This window comes from Homo sapiens, chromosome 5, assembly GCF_000001405.40.
Source record: "Homo sapiens chromosome 5, GRCh38.p14 Primary Assembly".
Taxonomy (NCBI): Eukaryota; Metazoa; Chordata; class Mammalia; order Primates; family Hominidae; genus Homo; species Homo sapiens.
The window spans coordinates 54298644-54317769 of record NC_000005.10 but is presented as its reverse complement, the minus strand read 5'-3'; the positions used below and the strand labels follow the sequence as shown (position 1 = coordinate 54317769).

Genomic DNA, 19126 nt, shown 5'->3' with positions numbered 1-19126 from the left:
CTTATTGCTGAGCTGATGAGAGTTCTGCAACAGGAATCAGCTTGTTTCTTGCTGGCTTCCCCCGCCTCTTGAACTTAGCCTTCAGCTTTCTCTGTTCCGCTACGTCAGTTGCCACTTCTGTATCCACTTTCTGTTTTCCTAAATGGTTGACCTCTTATATGCTGGAGTCTCTCCTTTAATTCTCTGTCTTGGTGGATCTTTTTTATTCCTTTACTGGCCTGTGGGGGTGAGGGTGGGGGAGATAAGCAAGTATATTTAATATGTCATGTTTAAGTGGAAGACCTCCATTCATATTTTTACTGCATACCTTCATTGTTCAATACAGTATCCACTACCTGCATTTCTAGTTCTCAATAGCCATGTGTAGCTAATGGCTACCATACTGGGCAGTACAAGTATAGGCCATTTCCATCATTACAGAAAGTTTTATTGGACTGTATCACTTAGCACAACCCAGAGATGCCATCCACGACTACCTGTCTAGAGTATGCTTCCCTGTTACTCGCCAGCACATCTCTTTAATTCTGTATAGCACTTATCACTAGTTGATATCTTTCCTGTCTCCAATCACTAGAGACTAAGCTTTATGTGAGCAGGGATAATATTTCTCTAGCATCCCTAATATATAGTAGGTGTTAAATAGGTATGTAGAATGCATGAATCCATATTAGCCTGCCCAGAGTACCTACATGCCTGTCTTTCTCAATTTAAACAGCATAGAGTCAGAATCTCAAGTCTGGATGAGATAGGAAGCATTATTATCTAGATGGTATATGATAGCCACTTTTTTCATTGGCTTTATTTTATAGTTTCTTGTTTCTGAGTTTCTCGTTTCCTTGCAAGCTGCCTTGAATCAATTGCCAGCTTGGATTAAGGCTTCCTTATATGTAAGCCTTGAAAGAAGAGATCAAAATTATAAATCACGGGCATTCAAGATGTTTCCAACTTTCAGTGGAATACCTACAAGAAAGCAATTTGAATAGTTTCTATATTATCCCAATAGGTGATGATCTCATAAGAAGCAGGCAAGAAAGCAAGTGCCCAAACACTTTTTTGGGATTTGCTTCCCTCTGTAGTTGGCACATCTTTATGCCAGTCTTAGGGACCAGAATGAGGGAGCAATTACACTGGATGGAGCTGCAAATCAACTTCCACCAACACCACATGGGGAGTTGGGAAGCAATAATCTGCAGAGAAGCTCCTAGCTGAACCCTGATTTGCACCAGTTAGACTTCCCCAAACTAAACTGTCTATACCTCCTATACCTTGGGCTCAAACACTCATCTTCTTTTAAGTATGTAATGCCTCATCCCCAATTTGTTGCTATTGATTCTTTATATGCTGTTTTCCCATCTGGAAAGTTCCCCTCACAAATCCTCCAAGATAAATTTTTTCTTTCTTGGAGAGTTCTATTAGAACTCCAGAAACTTTGGCAAACCCTCACTGAGTTCTCATCCCTTAAACACTTTAGTAACTCCTCTGGCACCAGGTTGACTGTGTGCACATTTGTATCGGGAAGGGCTTTGTCTATTCGCCTTTCTTTGTCCTGTTATTTCTAATAAGCGGAAGTTTCTCCGTGGTAGACTCTAGGCCTGCTTTATTTTCTTGTCACACTGATCCCAAGATCTTGTCACTTCCATAGTAGTATAGGGAAGAAATAGATATTCCAGGGTTATGGAAGGAAAGTCCTTAGCTCTGTTACTTAATGTGTGATCTTGGGAAGGGTATTTTATCTGTGATTTTTGCTGTGAGATTTCAGCATGGTGATCATGAGGCCTAATGGATTTGTTGATTTTTCTCCTTCACTTGGAGCTGACTGTGTCAGGAAGTACTAACAAGTATGCTCAGGCAGTGACATATTGACACAATGAGGCTGGCTGTAAATAGTGAGGTCTATGCTCTAAGCAACCAATCAATCTTTAGTGGTGCCAGGGCTACATGCAAGGTGTCAAGCCAGGCTGTTGAGGGAGATTCAGACACACGTGTGTGGCAGAAAAGGAGATTCACAATTCAAGAAAGGACTTGCTGCCCAATTGCAATGAGTGTGATTCACTAATGGCCTCCATCTATCTATTAACTCTTTTAGCTCTTCCAACACCTTTATTTTAGTTCCATAAGGCTCATAACTGGCTTGCAGAATAGGAAATTAATACAATCAGCAATGTAGAAATGTATCTAAGAGATTAAATGAACTTGCTGGGGTTGGTATTGAGAGGGATTTACACAGCTTCTTGATATTTGGTGCTTGAATGGTGGTTGCTTGTGAGATCTAGTTATCTTTCCCTCGTATATTTACCATTTTCAGTGGATGTCTTATCTTGCTTTAAAACCCCAAGACCCAGCAAAGCCCTTTTTGGAAAAGGTGAGTGACCCTTAATCATGGTAGGGATTAGTTGAACTCTATCCCCTGGCTGAGTAAACAGGAGCCTGGAAGGAACAGGTGACCTGTCCAAGCTCATCTAGTTAAGTAGTTACAAATCTTCATCTTGACTGCCAGGACTGATCTTTGAAAAATAGACATACAAGGCCTTAAGATCTACCTGCAGGAGAGAAAACAGGTTTAAACTGACATGGAGATATTTTAGATTAAAAACTTCAGACTTAGCTATTTCAGTGAGGGGTTCCTCTAGTTTGAGTTGCAAGTAGGTCACCATGCTAAGAGCAGAAAACCCTACTCTAATTCCAACCTCTGACCTCATTCAATAATCATTGGCTTGATTCCATTTATGAATCAAGCTCTGTTAGCGGCTTCATGTGGGGACACCCTGTTCTGATGAAGTTCATCTTCTGGGACACAGTGATACTTCATTTAGGTTTAGGAAGCAGAGAAGAGGACTGGGGTAAATCAGAGGTGGGTGTCAAGGTATCCACTGGAGAGAAAGGGAAAAAGGACTCAGAAGAGAATTTTAAAGTCACAGGAGTTATTGGATGTGGTAAGTGAGAAAAAGTGCCTGATGACCTCTGCAGAGCTGACCACTTTTTCTGAAAAAGAAGTGTCCATGATTTAAGAGTCATTATAATGAAAGATACCATCTTTCAGCTATTAAGGAATAATATTAAGGCAAAGATGAGACAAGATAATCATTCCCTACTTTGGAGCTGGGGGGTAGAAGGAAGAAGACTACATAAGCTAGGTCAAAACTGAGTATTAAAAGTGCTCAGCTGGGCGTGATAGCTCACGCCTGTAATCCCAGCACTTTGGGAGGCTGAGGCAGGCGGATCACGAGGTCAGGAGATCAAGACCATCCTGGCCAACATGGTGAAACCCCGTCTCTACTAAAAAAAGATACAAAATTAGCTGGGTGTGGTCACGTGTGCCTGTAGTCCCAGCTACTCAGGAGGCTGAGGGAGGAGAATCACTTGAACCCGGGAGGCGGAAGTTGCAGTGAGCCAAGATTGTGCCACTGCACTCCAGCCTGGCAACAGAGCGAGACTCCATCTCAAAAAAAAAAAAAAAAAAAGAAAAGAAGTGCTCATACTCTTTGTACCAGTAATTCTATTACTAGAAATTATTCTTAGGATAATAAGATGTGGATAGTTTTATAAGCAAACATTCACTGTAATATTTATAATAGTAGTAACTAATAAAGGATTTGTTAACACAGTAGTACATTTTTACAATAGTTTTATGTATCCATTAAAGATTTATGAAAAGTTTCAGTGAGATAGTGTATGCATGATACAAAACTAGTGAAGGCAGTATTCTCCTTGGAAACAACAAAAGAATAGCTGGAAATAACCACTAATATGTTGATTTTTCTGGAAAGTTGGGAGACCAAGTTGCAAAAATGCATTTCTGTTTTCATTCCTTGCAAGTGACAGTTTAACAAAAAATTTTCCTCCAAATTTGGCTAGCCAGCAGCCTTTATGGAATTTTAGAGTATGGACTGTCAAAATAATTTCTCTTTGCTTTTGACAAGCAACAGTGATGGCCTCTGTATTAGTCTGTTTTCACGCTGTTGATAAAGACATACCTGAACCTGGGCAATTTAGAAAAGAAAGAGGTTTAATGGACTTACAGTTCCACATGGCTGGGGATGCCTCATGATCATGGCAGAAGGTGAAGCAGGAGCAAAGACATGTCTTACATGGCGGCAGGCAAGAGAGAATGAGAGCTTGTGCAGGGAAATTCCTCCTAATAAAACCATCAGATCTCATGAGACTTACCACTATCATGAGGACAGCATGGGAAAGACTCGCCCCCTTGACTCAACTTCCTCCCACCGGGTCCCTCCCACAACACGTGGGAATTCAAGATGAGATCTGGGTGGGGTCACAGCCAAACCGTATCAGCCTCTTTCCTCAAAACCTATGCACTAATGCAATTGCCTCATGAGTTTACATGTTTCTTCCGCATCTGGAAGAGGGTCATTCTTTTCACTGACAGCAAGGGCAGAACTAGGTTAATGAGATCATGTCTTGTTCTGGATTGCAGTCTGTTACTTGGCATACAGTATGGTAGGTTGATTAAATGCATTCTAACTTCTCTACACTCTTTTAAAAAGCATGTATTGAGGTGATTACCTCAATAGGTGCTACCAACCCTATCAGCTATGACTGCAGCTTCATGTAGTGGGTAGTGTATTATCTGTTCATACCAATTCAGTCAAGTTAGCCTCTTTCCTCTGTAGGGGCGGACTCACTGACATCTCAGAAAACATCTAATTGAAAAAATGTGCTCCATATGGAGTTCAAAATCTACAGGTTGTTGTTGTTGTTTTATAAGGACTCTTTCCTAAAATGCAATATGTGATTTTTTAATACATTACACTGACTACAAGGTTTTCATTGATGCCAGTCACAATGAATGTGCAAATTGTGTGGAATAAAGTGAATATTATGGTGCAGTCTTTGGAACTTTTCCTTGAACATATTCTTTCATCTCCCTGCTTTGGCCCCATATACTAATTCTTAGAGGCAGCAAGAACCATACTGACCCTAATGACATGTTCAGGACTATCTTTCCCTAAGCTTAACTTTTAAAGGAAAGGCAGAAGCCACCTGCTTCTGAGTGGCTATCCTCCTCTGCATAGAGACTGATAGGCCTCTCGAAAGCCTGACTGGGCAGTAGCCCACACATCATTTATCACTAAGACAATGGTCCATAAGGTGTCTCTTTGCTAACTCAAGCCCTTTATCTTATTTTAAATATGCTTATTCACGAAGAAAAGCAAAACAAACAAAAAATGTTCCATGACTATTTCTGCTCATTGAGAGATTTTGTTTTCCAAATTAGTTTCAAACAAATTGTGCTAAAGAGTGTACGTTTATGGACGTCCATCTCCTCCAAAATCTAGGTGAAAATCTCTTCTAAACCTACATGTGTTTGAATTAACAGAATGCCAAGGAAAATCAAAATTGGATCTAATAGCACTTTGGGAGGCCGAGGTGGGCGGATTGCTTGAGTCCAGGAGTTAGAAACAGGCCTGGGCAACATAGTGAGACCTTGTCTTTACCCTTAAAATACAAAAAATTAGACGAGCGTAGTCGTGCACACCTGTGGTCCCAGCGACTCTGCAGGCTGAGGTGGGAGGATGCTTGAGCCGGCGAGGCGGAGGTTGCAGCGAGCCGAGATCGCGCCACTGCACTCCAGCCTGGGCGACAGAGAGAATCCCTGTCTCAAAAAAACAAAAACAACTTCCCCAACCCCGCCCCCCGCCCAAACCCTCACAACTTTCTGGCTGTAGGAATTCTCGTTTTGCAGCTGAGGAAACAGGTTTGGAAATTAGACTGCATACCTAAAATCACTTGGCTCATCAACCTACAGCTCCCTCTAGGGGGCTGCCTCGCCCTTATTGGTTATGTGCACATTTGGGGTGAATTCCACGGTCATCTAACAGAACTGTTTTGGTAGTCCCAGGTAAACTTACGGTACGGAAATTTGTTTCTTGAGGATACAAAAAAGAAAGGTGTCAGGGGGAAAGTAAAAATTCAACTCCTAAAACATCGCGTGTAGAGTCAGGCAGTCACTTCATAAAGAGTTCAGTCGATGAAGTTTCACTCTTGAAACTTTACTGTATGTATGCAAGCCCTAACTATTAATACAGGTGACAGCATCCACCTTATCTTCCATTCTCCCTAAGCCCTGAGGGTGGGGATGGGGGGGGGGGCACTCCAATCACCTGAGCCTAAGAACATAGCCTAAGAACATGTGTCTGGCATGGTCTGGTTATTTATAGCCTAAAAAAAAAAAAAGCCAGCTTCTTGTCCGATTCAGGCTTTCCCTGCCCAAACCCACTAGCTTAATGCGATATTGACATTACCAGGAAATGCATACGTCCCAAATGCATCTGCTTATAGATGTTTTTACCTCCTGAAATAATACCGGGTCACAAATACTGTTGTGTTTTTTGCAGAGAGCTTCTACTGCTCATTTAATTCAGGGGCGTTGGATTTGTGCTGAGCGTAATTTGACTCCAAGCATGCAAACTGATCAACTTCTTCCCGTGTGTTTGGGGAGTACAAGTGACTACTGCGACTCCTCAAATGTTTTTCTTTTCCTTTTCACGTGGAGGAAAGCGAATTCTCCGAAGACTGTTCGGCGTTCTACGCAGGGGTTGGAAGGGGGGTTCCTGAGTCACCTCTGGCTGCGCGGGGGGCCTGTGTGTACCCTCAGGGACACCAGGCTGGAATCGTCCACCTTACTTTCAAATGATAAAAGTGCGGAGGGTCTTTCTGCCCCTAAGTCGCGTACAGGATTGCCTGTTTACGGAGTACACTTTCACACACTTCTTTCCCGGTGGTGCAGTCTCGTGGCGGCAGAGCCTTTAGGAAGGCTCTGGGGGGAGACAAGATCAGTGGCGACCACGCCTCCCATGTTACAGCGCTCGCTTCCTACTGGGGGTTGGCGGGGACACCAAGGCTCTCCAGCCCGGGAACACGGAGTTCGGCTCCGTTGTACCCAACTGGAAAGCTGTGGAAACACAAAACTCGGGCGGCGACAGCACCAGCCGATTTTCCGCTCTCTTGGCTCTTTCTTCCGCTTGCACCGCCCCCACCCCGGCTCCTCCGCTCAGCACACAGGAACCCACATCCCCCACCACTCCCGCGTTTCTCTCCTGCCACCAGCTGGGGCCTGCCTTTTATAGGCGCCGCAGCCAATGAGCACGCTTCTTTCCTTCTGCCCGCCCGCCTGGCCAATCGCCGCGCCCCTTGTGTAATCTCCGGCTAGTCGGCTGCTTTCGGCTATTTTCGCTGTTGCTGGCTTTTTCAGGAGCTGCTCGCTCGCAGCCAGAGACGCTGCTTTTTTTTTCCGGGTTCGGAGCCGTTCCGGATGCTTTAGGCTGCCGGATGTCTGATCTCCGAATAACTGAGGCGTTTCTGTACATGGATTATCTGGTAGGTGCAGGGCAGGGGTGGCATGTCGCCTCTCGGATCTCGGCGTGCCCGATGGCCCCCTGCCTTGAGGAGCAGCCTTTTTGCTTTCTTTCTTTGGGATAGGATGCCTCTGGGGTTCTTTCTCCCGCAGCCGGCTGGTAAGCCTTTCCCTGGACTCGGAGGGGCAGCCTCCAGGGCGGGTGGGTGGTGGAGCTGACAGGTAAAGGTGCGGCCTGGGCCAGCACGGCTGCAGGGCGAGGGTCGCGCTGGGGCTGCTTGAGAGATGGGGCGGCCGCGGCGGCGCGTCCCCTGCCCGCGATCGGCTTCCTGGCTTCCCTCTGCGCTCTCCGCAGAGGACTTTCTTTCCGGGGGAGCAGGAGTTTTCCTCTCTCCCTGGAGCAGAACTCCAGGTGCTATTAAAGAGCCATAACCAGAATGGCTCACTAAGTGCCCAGCAGCCCTGGTCATTTGATTGTTATTAAATCTCTAAAGCTATGACCTCGGTCGTGGCGGGGTTTTAAAAGCACATTACCATAAAGCAGACGGGTCTAAACTACCTCGCAGGCTGGCACGAACAGGACTGAGTAGGGACAGGTATAGCCCCACCATTCCGGTCTTGGGTGCGTGCCGCGGTTCCACTGTGCACGGATTGGAACCCGGCTGTTTAGGCCAGGCTTGTGCTGAGAAGTTTAGGTGGGAAAAGTGTCAGCACAGTGCTGGGACCGAACATCATTTTAAAAATGGACTTCTATGTGTCTTTGTGGAATTATGCGAGCACCATGTTTTGTTCCAGAAATTATATTTCCCCAGAGTTGCTTGTTTGCGTTTAAGGGGATCCTCATTTACAGAGACTTGTGTTCGATCCTATACGATTATTGTGTTTACCATGTTGGGCAGAACCGCTATTGCCATGCAGAGTTGAAGTAGACGGTTAGAAACATTGACCCTCCTGTCATCTTGTTGGACACATGCACTCGGTTTTCGACTGCAGATTGGCCTGGCAGAGATTTGCCAGTGCCTTCTAGGAATTACACTTAAGGCTGTACTGAGAAAGTCTGTGCATGCTTTGATGGCCAAGAAACGCCGGACCGGCTTTGTGCTGTTATCTGTGTATTTGGGCTTATTTTAGTGTACATAAAGAAAATGTTTCTCCTAATGCTTCAGAGCTTGATGGTCTTGTGGGAAAGGATGGTGACTGCAGTTAATGCATAGCCTTGTGAATGGAGCTGGATCTAAAATTCTGAATTCAAGTTCTGTTTTGTTGTTCATTTGTTGATGGCAGTAACTTCCTTTATCTTTGTGATAAAGGGATATTATTCACCCAGTACTGTAGCTGGTTACGGGGATTATCTGATTATGAACATTCTTCACAATACAAGGTGCCCTGTAAGTTAAGAGAGCTGCCAGAAGATTATTTTCTAAGTTAAATAACTGATTTAATTTGTAATTTATCTTATAAAATACAATACATGGTTTTTGTCTTGCAGTCTGCCTAAATTAAAGCGAAAGTTTGTTGGGATAATTACCAAGTAGGAAAGGGTGACATTGCCTGTACTACTAAAAGCTAATTTTGAATACTTAAATAGTTCTTAAAAAAGAAAATCAGGTGGTTCTGACATTTTATTATTTTCTTTATTTACCGGATGTGTTTTAAATTTATAAATTGCATCACAAAGCTGTCTTTGAGGTGCCAAACCTATCAAAATGCTTAGTGAAAACAAAATTGATAACTCTGGTTAATTACTCAGGCTAACCTCTAGATAGGCATAGTCTAAAGGTGAGTGGATGAATGTTTGTGGGCCCAAGGTTACCTTAAAAGCAGATTAATTTATTTGCCAATTTACTAACAGCTTTGTGTCAAAATCAACAGGTCACAAATTTGACTTGGCCTTTTTGTTTTACCTGGGCTCAAGTTTACCCTAAAAGCAGATTAATTTCTTTGCCAATTTACTAACAGCTTTGTGTCAAAATCAGCAGGCCTCAAATTTGACTTGGCTTTTTAAAAAGCTTTACTTGCCATACATCTTAGTTTTACTTTTATATTTAAAAAAAATCATTATTTTGCCACTTTATCCATCTAAAATTCACAAGTGCAGTGACCAACCCCATAAAAGCCAGTGGCTACTCTTTGGAGGTGAGAAAAGAAATCTTAAAGGAAACAGTTTAGTTTTTGTGAGTGTGCCAAGTGTCCCCTGTGAAAAGATTTCAGAAAATTCTTTAGCATTAAACTGGATGGAAACAAACAGAAAAACCATCTCAAAACAAAAAACTAGCCCTCCCGAGGTAGCCTTTTTGTGTTCACCTTTTGCTTGTCGACTTTCAGAGAAAATGATGTGCCACACATTATTTTTCTCTTCCTGTCTTTCGGATTGACTTGCTTGCTTATGCATACTCTGTGTGGCGTTTATTAAAAGCCCTATTTCTGAGGAATAGAAATCAATTTATTTGCATCTGGTATCTTATTTTATTTTTAAAAAATTCCTGAGTTCTTTTACTTACCTTGCAGGGAAAAAAAATGCTCCTTTCATTCCAAGTTTGACTCCAGATTTTGCTGAATGGATTAGAGTAAGTTCCCTTTCCATGCACTGACAAGAATGATGGTGTGTGTCATTTCTTTTTAATCAGTATTTGACTTTCTTGTGTTGTTCCTGTTGGAAACTGGAAGAGAGAGCTGTGTGTGTGTATGTATCTATTGTTCATTGTTCTTTGGGCTGGATGTCGTCACTTAACCTTTTTATTTGGAGGAGAGTGGAAAGGAAGAAGGGAGAGAAAGGTGGAGGTGCTATTTTGTCTTAACAGGATTAATCCTTTTAATAAGATTGAGATATTAAAACAGATGAAGAAGCTCTACTGATCTTCGGGTCGCTGTTGATTTCTTAAAACAAATGTTCTCAGAAGTGACAGTCAAGGTGAGGGACAGGGATAGTACTTTAATATTTAAGACAGGGTTTTATTGATTTCAGTCGAGAGAAAGAATAGAAATTTGCTAATCCTAATCAATTAGATGTATCACCTGGTGCGGTGCCTGACTTGGTTTCTGGCATGTATTAATAGTTAGGGCCCGATATTTTATTTGTTGAATCAGATGAATATGAAATGGAAAGGAAAATTCTGCTTTTTTTCACCAGTTTTTAAACTGAGACAAGATAAAATCTGTTTGGATTAGGTGTTTTGTTCAGGGGAATGCAGAATGTATCCTTTACTCTTAACTTGAAGATGATCAAGATATAATCCTTTTAGCCAGGGTGGCAATTTAAACATAAAAATCTCTGTTTTCCAGTTGATGAGTGAATCTTCCTAGAAGGGCACACAACTTTTCCCCTTTCCATGATGGGGTTTAAAGGCCATGTTTACATCTGCCAAGTCTCTGGGTAAACATTTAGCTGCTGTCCCAACAGGCAGTACCAGCATCTTACTCTTTCTTCTCATAGGTAGAACTAGTAACACAATGTGCAGAGCTTTTTGGATAAGGTAGGAGAAAATAGTCAGGTTAAAATGAAAGAGAAAAACACATTTCTCGAGTTTTCCTGGGAGGTTGGACAAGATCAACTTCTAGATTCCTTTCAGTTCAAAATTTTCTGTCTTGACTCATGTGATGATTGATCTGGAATTAACCTTTTTTCCCTCTGCGCCATCAAAACAACAGTGGTAGAATTGGTTGTACTCTGTGTAATACCTATGATGATTAAATGAGATAGTGGAGGGAAAGCCATTTGTAAACAGTACGTTGCTTTTCAAATATAAAATGTTAACGTATTGTGTGGCTGGGCGAGGTGGCTCACGCCCGTAATCCCAGGACTTTGGGAGGGCAAGACAGGCGGATCACTTGAGGTCAGGAGTTTGAGACCAGCCTGGCTGACATGGAGAAACCCCATCTCCACTTAAAATAGAAAAATTAGCTGGGTGTCGTGGCGCATGCCTGTAATCTCAGCTACTTGGGAGGCTGAGGCAGGAGAATCGCTTGAACCCAGGAGGCAGAGGTTGCAGTGAGATCGCACAACTGCACTCCAGCCTGGGCGACAGAGTGAGACTCCGTCTCAAGACAAAAAAAAAAAAAAAAAGTTAACGTATTGTGATTATGTTGCTGATGTTACTTTTATACCTCCTGTAGAATGACTGTTACTGCTTAGTGGTATTGAAATACCTTTTAAACTAGTCTCAATTTATGGAAATACTGGGAGTTGTAATCAACAAGCAGGAAGTCACAAGACTCTTTTAAGAATCTTTTAAAAGCTACGAAAATAAAACCCATTTGAATAATTTATCTATTCAACAAATATTTATGGAGCCCTTACTTTCTGCATGGCCCTGAAAGTCATGCGGGATGAACCCTCAGCTGTAATATCCTCCTTGACTGCAGGACTGGCAGTCGTGTGGCTCTAGAGGAACCTGTGGCAGGACAGGTTAAGTAAGGCACATAGGGGAGGGGGTAGCTTCTGATGTGCTTCTTTGCTTTCTAGTACATTTCTCTCATTTTGTGTGTTTTATTGTGAACTAAAATATAAACTTAGACTTGAAAATGTGACAAGTAAAAATGGTTGATTAGTCTTGGATGCTAATTGTCAATTAATATTCATTGCATTTGTTTATAGTAGCCTCCACCCTCCCATCCACGGTTTTACTTTTCAAGGTTTCAGTTAACCATGGTCCACCGAGGTCTCAAAATAAGTGAGTAAAGTACAATAAGATATTTTAAGAGAGAGAGAGACCACATTCATATAACTTTTATTACTGTATATTGTTATCATTGTTCACTTTTATTATTAGTTATTATTAATCACTTACTATGCCTAATTTACACATTAAACTTTATCATAGGTGTGTGTGTATAGGAAAAAATATAGTGTGCTCTGTGCTATGTTAGTTAGTTCTATGATAGCTCAGTACTATCTGTGGTTTTAGGTATCCACTGGGACTTGGAATATATCCCCCATGGATGAGGGGAAACTACTGTACCGTGTTGGGGATTTTTTATTTATTTATTTTTTTTTTGTGACAGAGTTTTGCTCTTGTCATGCAGGCTGGAGTGCAATGGGGTGATTCTCCTGTCTCAGCCTCCTAAGTAGCTGGGATTACAGGTGCCCACCACCATGCCCAGCTAATTTTTGTATGTTTAGTAGAGACGGGGTTTCACCATGTTGGCCAGGCTGGTCTCAAACTCCTGACCTCAGGTGATCCACCTGCCTCGACCTCCCAAAGTGCTGGGATTACAGGAGTGAGCCACCGTGCCCTGCCAGTGTTTGGGATTTAATAAGATTAGATTTGATAGGTTAGTTTAATAAGATTTCTTTGTATAGACTGGTGGACTTGACCTATTTAGTTTCTTGGTTATAGGCTGTATCTGCCATCATAAAAATGTATGTCTCAGTGGGGAAGATGTGGTGAGAGAATTGGGTTGATCATCACAAATCTGTCACCATTTGCAGGATAAAAACCAGCTAACTAACCAACAATAGAAACCCATGATGTGCTACAAAGGGTAGAGCCCACAGGCACTATGAAATTGTAAAGGATCCTACTTGAAAAGAGGAGTGAAGGTACATTTGTGATTTCATATTATGTTCAGTTATCTGTGAACTGAACTTCTTTATTGATAAAAAAAAAAGTACATTGTTTCGTTGTTTTTAACCCTGAATATCTATGAACATTGTAAGTTGTATTTATTGTGACTAACTTTAAAGTGATAATGTAGGTCACTTTTTAGTCTAAATGTCGAGTGGATTAGGCAGTCATATTAAATATTCCTTTCTTAATAATTTATAAGATAAAAATTATCTGAGCACAATAAACAGATCTACCATATATGGAGTTCATATAGCAAAAATGTTTTGAGCAAATCCGTACCATTAGGTAGGAACTTTTCTACAAAGGTGTTAAGTCTGGTTCCCAAACTTCTGTGGCTCCAGTCTAACAGTATGAGCCCTAGGAGAGGACACATAGGGACCTTGATTCATGCCCTCCAGGGGCTTGCATTCTGAAAGATGCCAAAGCCACATGCTTGTTGGCATGTGGGCAGTGCTCAGGTCGGGGGTGAGAGGAGATAAGTATATGAGTTATAATCAGGAGGGCAAAATCAGTTAACATTTATTGAACACTTACTCTGTGCCAGTGTTCTAAGTGCTTTGCATGTGTAATAGCATTAAACTGAGGCTCAGGGAGGTTGTGTAATTTCCTCAAGTTCACACAGCTAGCAAGTAGTTGAACTGCGCTTGTGGCCCCAGGGCCCTCCCTCTTCATTGCCTTCCACCTACAAGTAGTTCCCTTGTGCTAGGCAGAGGCTCAGGCAGCTTGGTGTTAAGGCAGTTGGGATGCACTCAAAATTTTTAGTATATTGCTTCTTAAGTAAACAGGTACAGAAAAGTGGTCCTTGACCACTACTATGTTAAAGAAAGCAGTGGCCATGAGCAGGCAGGCTGATGCGCCCTTGTCCCCAAGGACTCTGGCAGGTGATTGTTACAGAGAAGGCTGGCTAGGAAGAGAACTATGTTGTGTGCTGGGAACTCCTGCCTTACAGTCTCCATACCCTGGTCATAGCCACTGAGGTGATCTTCAGCATCTAGTGTTCCACCAGGTGACCACATATAGATTTTCAGGCAACCTCCTTACTCAGCCCCCTAGTGTCACTTTTGGGGGCACATTCCTACCTGCCCCAAGCCCCAGTTTTGTTTTGTTTCGTTTTTCTTCCCTCCCTTCCCCTCCTTTCCCCTCCCCTCCCCTCTCCTTTTTCTTCTTTTTTTCCTCTCCTCCTCTTTCTTCTTTTTTTCCTCTCCTCTTCTTCTTCTTTTTTTTTTTTTTTTGACAGGGTCTCACTCTGTCATCCAGGCTGGAGTGCAGTGGTGCGATCTCCTTACTCAGTCCCCTAGTGTCACTTTCAGGGGCACATTCCTACCTGCCCCAAGTCCCAGTTTGTTTGTTTGTTTCTTGCTTTTCTTGGTTGCTTGCTTGACAGGGTCTCACTCTGTCATCCAAGCTGGAGTGCAGTGGCTTGATCTCAGCTCACTGCAACCTCTGCCTCCCGGGTTCAAGCAATTATCCCACCTAAGCCTCCTGAGTAGCTGGGACTACAGGCGTATGGTTAGTTTTTGTATTTTTTGGTAGAGACGGGGTTTCACCATGTTGCCCAGGCTGGTCTCAATCTCCTGACCTCAAATGATCCACCTACCTCAGCTTCCCAAAGTGCTAGGATCACAGGCGTGAGCCACTGTGCCCAGCCCCATTTCTTTTGAAGAGGTACTGAGACTGTGCTATGTTCTTTTGCCACGCACTGCCTGGGAAGTCAGCTGTTCCCAATAGATACTAGGCCATAAGCAGCCTGTTGCTTATGGACTTCAGCTGGGCAAAATCTCCTGATGGTATTAACTTTATAAAAGGATTTATTTCTAAGGTAGACTAAAGAGAAGGAAAGCTTGTTAGGGAAGGTCTCATAACTATTGTAGGTGACAAGAAGTGGGAATTTCCTCTGATACTTCCCACAAATTAAATTATTGAGGGGCTTTTGTTTTGGATCCTGCAGCCCCCTGTGTTATGTTGTGGCTCTCCCCTGTCATCTCCCCAAATGTCCCAATGTCCCAGGTGTTTGGATGAGTCTAAGAAGCCCAGTTCTGGTTGACCCTCATTTTCCGAGTGTCTGTAAAGTACCAAGTCACATCTACTTTTAGCAGGGCTGGCTTCCCAGCCATGCAACCGCTGGGTTCAGAAGAGCCCCATGCCTGGTTTACTGCTCTTTGGTCCCCATCCTGGAAAAAAAAAAAAAAAAAAAAAAAAAAAAATCTTAATTTTAGAACAGGTGCTTTGCGTTTTCATTTTGCACTGGGCCGCACAATTTATAAGGCCAGTTCAGATTTCTAGCGCTAAATACATGGCTGGCATCTGAGTCTGTAACCTGCATCATTGCTGGTTCCCTGACCGTCTTAATCACCATTTTATCACTGGAATCTAGTCTAGTGTCTGGTAAATACAGGACTGTGTACCATTTACAGTGCTGAGTGTTTTCCTTGGATCACCTAATTTAATCCTCCCAACAGTGCTGTTAACCACAAAGACATAGCAACTTAGAAAAGAGGAAACTTGAGACTCTGAAAGGTTGAGTGTTGCCCAGAATTGCATAACCAGTGGAGGGTCAGGGTCAGGATCAGTGTATGAGCTTGTCTGATTCTAAGCCCATGGCCATGAGCATTCTTCGGTGCTGCTTAACTATTATAATTAATAATTGTTGAGAGGATGAGTGAGAGAGACTGTGTGAACCATAGATAACAATTCTGGAAATTGAGGGGTCACTTGATTGTTTCTGTCACCTGGTTGCCTGTGAGAGGCCCTCTGGGAACTCAGTGACAGTGCAGCTCCCACTGGGAAAGTTGTGTGGGTTTGTGTTTGAGGCGGGAGTCTGCTCACTGATTTTGCTTTCATTGATTACCCACTCTCTCCTTCAGTGTGCATAAAGGTAGGTGTTCTGCCCTTTGGCTCATAGAGCCAAGCACTCCTACATGATTTTGATAGTAGCTCACCATCTGAAAAGTTGCATTTGCAAGCCAATCTCATTTATCAAGTTCCTCTGTACCTAGATTTGCTGGGAACTGTTTTAACCTCTGGACTGCTGCTTTCAGAGTTGAGGACTTATCCCACTAATTATGTCCATGTCTCTCCAAGAGGGATTCCCTTGGGTTCTTTTTTCAACAGGAGAGCTGCTGCTCTGGCCTCTCTCTCTCTTTCTCTTGGGGAAGGGAATGACAATCTGGAGGCACTCCAGGACCACTGATTGAGGCATTGGAGGTCTATACCCGTTCCTAATCAGTATAGACATGGAGTCAGGAGCTAAACAGAAATATAATTCTTTCAGAGTTTTATTTCTAATTATGAATTATTTTAAGCATTCAGAAAAGTACAGAAAATAATATAACAGACTTCTGTGTACCTGCCTTCCTGATTGAACATTTTGCCATTTTGACTTCAAAATTCTGGTGATCTTTAAATGAAACTAAAGACTCCTGTTCCCTGCACGCTTCCTCCTCCACCCTTCTCAGTGGTGACCACTATCCCGAGGTTAGTGAGTAACAGTCTCATGCATGTTTTTGGCTTTTTATCATATATGCATGTGGGTGTAAACCATATATAGTATCATTGTGTGTGCTTTAAGAATTTTACCAAAATTGTAACATAATGCTCTATCTTTCTAAATTTGCTTTTTTCCCTAAAAAAAAATGTTGAGTGAATAAGACATTAGTCTGCCCTCAAGGTACTTATGCTCCTGTACGATGAAAAATAAACAATTACATTTTGGAGTAGCATAGTCTATCTGGAGGGAAATAAAGACGGCTAGAGTAGCACATGAAAGGCAACCTAACCTAGATTTCAGGGCCAAAGAGAACTTCCCAGAGGAGTCTTTTAACATCTGCAACATTAAAGCTGAGTAAAGTTGGCCCAGTGACAGGCAGGGCCAGGGCCAGGCAAAAGGAATAGCTGTGCGGAAATTTGGGGGTGAGTAACCCCATGACTTCAAGGGACTTCAGGGGTTCTGTGTTTTTGGAGCAGGGTTTGGAGCAGTGCTAGAAATGAAGCTGCAGAGCCCAGCTAGGGTCATGGAAACTCTGAAAGTTTGCCTGCAATGACATGGTCAGATCTGTCTGCAGTGCAGAGAAGGATTGGAAAGGGAGGGAAGACTGGAGCAAGACTAGTTAGGAAGATGTCCTGATCCAGAAATGAGATGATGGTGTTCACAACCAGGAAGGGGCAGGAGGGATGCATAAATGTAGATGGATTTAACAACATTTAAGAATTGCCAGAATTTTGTAATTGGATGTGGAAGATGACAACAGAATAGATCTCAGGGATAATTCTTAGGTTTTTGGTTTGAGCATTGTTTTGGTTATCTGAGTAATGAACCACCTTAAAACAATAGTTTAACACAATAACAATGTATTTTACTCGTGAATCGGGGTTTGACTGGGTTCAACTAGGCAGTTATTGTTCAGGATCCCTCATGAAGTTGTAATCAGATGGAGGGTGGGGTCACCTCAAGGCTTCATACACATGCCTGGCATCTGAGCTGGGTACATTGCAACAGCTGGGTGCTGGACAAGGGTGGCCCCCTGGGGCATCTCTCTTCATGTGGTCTTTCTATGTGATGGCCTCAAGATAGCTGGACTTCTCATATTGAGGCCGAAGGCTTACAGAGCAAACGTACCAAGAGAAACTGGCAGAAACTGCCTGGTCTTTTCTACCCAATCCTCAACAGTGATTCAGTGTCACTTTTACTGTGTTCTTTTCATCAAGGCAGTAAAAAAGGCATTGCTAGGTTCAAGGGCAGAAGGGAGATATCTCTTGGTGGGAGGAAGGTTGAAGAATTTTTGGGCATGTTTTAAAACCACTGTAGGTATTGAGGTGGGTAATGGGGTCATGCACTATGATCTGTAACCCTGAAGAAATAGCAGGTTTGGTGGGAAAGGGAGAAGTTTGACTTTAGAGTGACTGAGTTTGAACTGCTTGTGCAGTAATTCAACTTGAGATTTCACATAGGTAAATGGAAACTCAGAGGTGAGGTTTGGAGATGTAGTTAAAACTAATACCTAGGGCCAGGTGCGGTGGCTCACGCCTATAATCCCAGCACTTTGAGAGGCCGAGGTGTATGTATCCCGAGATCAGGAGATCCAGACCATCTGGCCAACATGATGAAACCCCATCTCTACTAAAATACAAAAAATTAGCCAGGCGTAGTGGTGCACACCTATAGTCCCAGCTACTTGGGAAGCTGAGGCAGGAGAATCACTTGAACCCAGGAGGTGGAGATTGCAGTGAGCCGAGATTGCGCCACTGCATTCCAGCCTGGCGACAGAGCGAGACTCCATCTCAAAAAAAAAAAAAAAAAAAAAAAAGCTAATAGCTAACATTTATTGTTACATACTGTATACTATACTATATTATTAATATTTTGCAGGAGGCACAGTGCTCAGTATTTTTTATATGCTATACATTTACTATTATCGTTTTAGAGATTAGAAAACTGAAGCTTAGAGAAATTAAATGTTGTGCCTAAGACATGGTGGAGCCAGAATTTGAACCTAGGTCTGGCTAATGTTTGAGCTCACATTTGCAACCACTTAGATGGTAGCTGAAGCCATAGCCATGCATGAGGGTTCAGTTGTGTGGGAAAGGAAAATACTTGAGGATGCCTACGGCCTCAGCCACTGCTGGCGTGTAGTATACATGCAGCTTTTATGGGATCACCAAAAGTAAAGGAACCAAAGAGGAACTTGGCAGCCAGTCATGGTGGCTTGTGCCTGTAATCTCAGCACTTTTGGAGGCCAAGGCGGGAGGATCACTTGGGGCCAGGTGTTTGAGACTAGACTGGGCAACATAGTGAGACCCCTGTCTCTACAAAAAAATAAGATAGCCAAGCATGGTGGCATGCACCGGTGGCCCCAATTACCTGGGAGGCTGAGGCAGGAGGATCACCTGAGCCTGGGATGTTGAGTCTGCAATGAGCCGTGATTGTGCCACTGCACTCCAGCCTGGGTGACAGAACAAGACCTCATCTCAAAACAAAAAATGCAAAGGAAAAAAAAACCAAAAAACCAACAGCAACCAGAAAGAGGAGTCTGGGAGAAAGAGAACTGAGAGGTTGGAAGGAAACCTGGAGAGTGTGATGTCAAGCAGGTGAGGATAGAGACTTTCCAGGAAAAAGTGGCCAATTTTGTTAAATGTTGACCAGAGATCATGGAAGATAATGACTGGAAAATGACCACTGAATTCGTGTCAGTGGTGACCTTGGCCAGAGGGCTGTCATGGGCCTTGTTGCGGTGCCGATTAGTGGAGG

The 19126-nt window shown here is 43.0% G+C and overlaps 1 protein-coding gene across 10 annotated transcripts in view, besides 2 other annotated features; it reads left to right on the top strand.

Annotated features, from left to right (window-relative positions):
- Positions 4089–4436: a transcriptional cis regulatory region, noted in NCBI's record as "candidate enhancer chr5.1314 targeted for multiplex CRISPR interference". NCBI's record gives its function as "positively regulates SNX18 gene expression with high confidence in K562 cells {active_cell/tissue: K562}" and the evidence as "EXISTENCE:mutant phenotype evidence [ECO:0000015][PMID:30612741]".
- Positions 7197–19126, top strand: part of ARL15 (ARF like GTPase 15) — a 426632-nt gene continuing 414702 nt past the window's right edge. For 6 of the 10 annotated variants that reach the window (NM_019087.3, XM_011543500.3, XM_017009598.2 and 3 more), the window contains exon 1: positions 7197–7338. In NM_019087.3, coding sequence (NP_061960.1) covers positions 7291–7338 — 48 coding nt within the window. In that variant the 5' untranslated portion in view covers positions 7197–7290. Of the gene's footprint in view, positions 7476–9823; positions 9883–19126 lie in introns of all 10 variants that reach the window. The other 4 variants (XM_047417335.1, XM_011543499.3, XM_011543498.3 and 1 more) reach the window with 4 other exon arrangements.
- Positions 12435–13098: an enhancer, noted in NCBI's record as "OCT4-NANOG hESC enhancer chr5:53600502-53601165 (GRCh37/hg19 assembly coordinates)". NCBI's record gives its function as "activates a minimal SCP1, AML or CMV promoter by ChIP-STARR-seq in naive H9 embryonic stem cells {active_cell/tissue: H9 hESC(naive)}" and the evidence as "EXISTENCE:reporter gene assay evidence [ECO:0000049][PMID:30033119]".